Source organism: Homo sapiens, chromosome 13 (genome assembly GCF_000001405.40).
Source record: "Homo sapiens chromosome 13, GRCh38.p14 Primary Assembly".
Lineage (NCBI taxonomy): Eukaryota > Metazoa > Chordata > Mammalia > Primates > Hominidae > Homo > Homo sapiens.
Genome location: NC_000013.11, coordinates 78,693,056 through 78,696,401, shown reverse-complemented (window position 1 = coordinate 78,696,401; position 3,346 = coordinate 78,693,056).

The window sequence follows — 3,346 nt, the reverse complement described above, 5'->3', positions numbered from 1 at the left end:
AGTGTGTAGGGATAGGCAACCTGACATGAAACCATGATTCCTGAAAGGAAAAATGGATAAATTAAGCCTCATCAAAATTTAAAACTTTTACTCTGTGAAAGACCTGTTAAAAGAATGAAAAGACAGGCTGCAAACTGGGGGGAAACATTTGAAAAAAATCCCACAAATAACTAGTATCAAGAGTATATAAGGAACTCTCAAAACTCAACAGTAAAAAAACAAACAATCTAAACAGAAAGTAGTCAAAAGGCATGAACAAACATTTCACTACAGAGAATACATATGTCAAATAAACACATAAAAAGTAGTTCAACACCACTGAACTTTGAGCTTAGTCCATCAAGGAAGTGCAAATTAAAACCTCAATATCATTACACACCTATTAGAATGGGTAAAATAATAACACGAAACGCTGATGAGGATGTGGGGAAAACTGGATTGTTCACACATCGCTAGTGAGAATATGGAATGGTGCAGCCACTCTGGAAAGCAGCCTGGTAGTTTCCTGTAAAACTAAGTTTGCAGTGCAACTGTGATACGACCTGGAAATTTAAATCTTGAGCTTTTGTCCCAGATTAATGAAAACTTATGCTCACTCAAAAACCTGTACATGATGGTTCATAGCAGCATTATTTACAACAGCAAAACCTGGAATCAGCCCAGATGTCCTACAACTGAGGAATGGTTAAACAAATTGTACTGCATCATGCCATGGAATACTACTCAGCAATAGAAAGAAACAGATGATTGAATTCACCCACAACTTGGATGAATCTCCTGAATATCATGCTGAGTGCAAAAAAAAGCCAAACTCAAAAAGTTACATATCAGCTACGAAAAGTTACAAAAGACATAAATTCAACTTATAAAACATTCTTGAAAAGAGAAAATAAGAGAAATGAAGAGCAGACGAACGGTGCTAGGGGTTACGAATTGGGGATATTGTTCAATGTTTATGGCAATATTATTCATAATAGCCATAGCCTGAAAACAACCAATTAACAGATAGAAAGGCAAACTGAGGTAAATCCATGCAATAGAATACTACTCCTGATACACAGCAACATAGATGGACCTCAAAAGCATTGTAAAGTGAAAGGAGCCACACATCTACTGATATAAAATATAAACCAATTGCATTTATATGTAATTCAAATACAGGCAAAACTAATCTACAAAGAGTCCAGAGTGCATGTGAGGGTGAAGACAAACTAGAAAGGGAGGTTGGAACTTTCTGGAATGATAGAAATTATTTATATGTTACCGGGATAGTGGTTACACAGGTTTATACAATTATCAAAACTTATTGAACTGAATGCTTAAAGTCTGTACTGTTTATAGCACATTAACTATAAAGCCATTTTTAGAAATGTGATTGTGAGGTTAGATGGAGAGAAATCATTCTATGATTTCACTTTAGCATTTCCAGGGTCATGCTAGGAGTCTGAGCAGAATTAGGATTGTTGCCTCCGAACGTTTGCCTTAATAAACTCAATATTTCATATAAACAAAAGATGGGATTATTTAATTTAACAGGAAACAAATATTACAAGAATTAAGAAGATTCTAAGTGGATTTGGATCACTCCATGTTCATCTCACAGCCCTTGAATTATTCATCCATTCACTCAGTAAACATTTCTTGAATCCCTACAATGGGTCAGGCACTATTATAGACACTTGGAATCTAGAAAGAGAACTTGTTCAGGAATAGCATCCTGCCTGTCCTGACCCACGTCACCCTCCCAAGCCCAGAAAGGAAGGCTATCAAGGTTAAAAGAGCAGAAATAGGGACCAGACACACATGAGCTGCTTCATTACTTTTTGTTGTGACTAGTGATCAATGACACACATGTCATTAACTATATTACCACCTTCTGTAACATATACAATGACTAAGCACATTCAATAGCCCTGTGAATGGTTGAAAAACACAGCAGAGACTCTGCACAGGACTCCTGGATAGGAGGGGAGTGCCAAAGATGCCAGGCCTTGATGTATAAAGACAGGATAAAATTTTCAAAAGCTTCTTCGCCTTTTCTCCTCCCCTACTCTTTTGTTTACCTTTTCTTTTCTTTTGATGTTTGCCTCTTTCTTTCTGAAATAAACTTGTTCCCAGTCTCTCATTTCCTGTCTTATATTTTAAATTTCATAAAATAAGATCTTATTTAAGTTGTAAATGTTCTTTCCAAGGCCTTATTTCTTTAAAAGGAAGCACTGATATATGAACATATCTTCTTAATCAAGGAACAGTACGGGGAGGGCCCCAACATGAAAAGAACATGTATGGGCCCCAACATGAAATCAACAGTACGGGAAGGGCCCCAACATACAAAGAAAAGATAAAATACAAATTTTGAGAAACAAGACAAATCAGGAAAAATTAGATGAGGACAAATAGCGACTTTCTGTGAAAGCTTAAAATGAGAAGCTAAAATGGGTAGAACCCTTAATACCATTGTAAATAGTAAGTTATGAATTGGAACTATAGTAAAGATGATACAGTCACATGGAAAAGACTAAGTTTTAAAAGCAGAGTTATTAACAACAACAACAACAAAAAAAAAAAAAGCTGCCAATGAAACAGATGAGCCTAATTAATAGTAATTTTGAAGGGTAGTTGTGAAATCCATCCATCAGATATACTAATAATTAAAGTATCAGGAAATGAAACATGCTAGTAGGACATAAGCAGTGGTTTCTTAATATTTGGCTAATTCACATATTTGGGAGGTAAACATTCCCATAGAACATGTCTCAAAGTCTTAATGACTTGTTTGATGATTACACAGTAACTGAATCATGAATATAATCAAGATTTTCCAACTCTTGATTTAGTAGCCTGGCTCCAGACCAAAGAAATACACCTTGTCTTTAAGAAATATAGCTTTTCATTTAAGAGTTTTTGAAATTATTTCATAGACCACCTATAACTAACAGCAGCTTAAACAGCGTTTCTTACTGTACTCACATTGAACCAGCATCTGTTCTAAATGGTATATGCCTAATCGTTGTTGCTAATTTGTCATTTAACTCAAAAGAGATCATTTAATATTGAATTTTTAAAATAATTTTATGCTCTTAGGCACCATGTCATGAATTCAAAAAGGATAAATCAGCATATTATTTTTCAAGGAAAAAAATCAGAAGCTTATGTTTTAATATGTAAAATACAATAAAGCCATTCTCAGATCATAATATCAGTATTGGTTTATGGATCAGTTGTTGTAGATAATCAGCCTAAGAGCTCAGAGACCCCCAAATCATTCTATAGGAGGCAAAATGTCTGTTTCTTTAGAATCCACTTATACATGCCCAGAGGGAGACCATGCCCTAAATAGGGACCG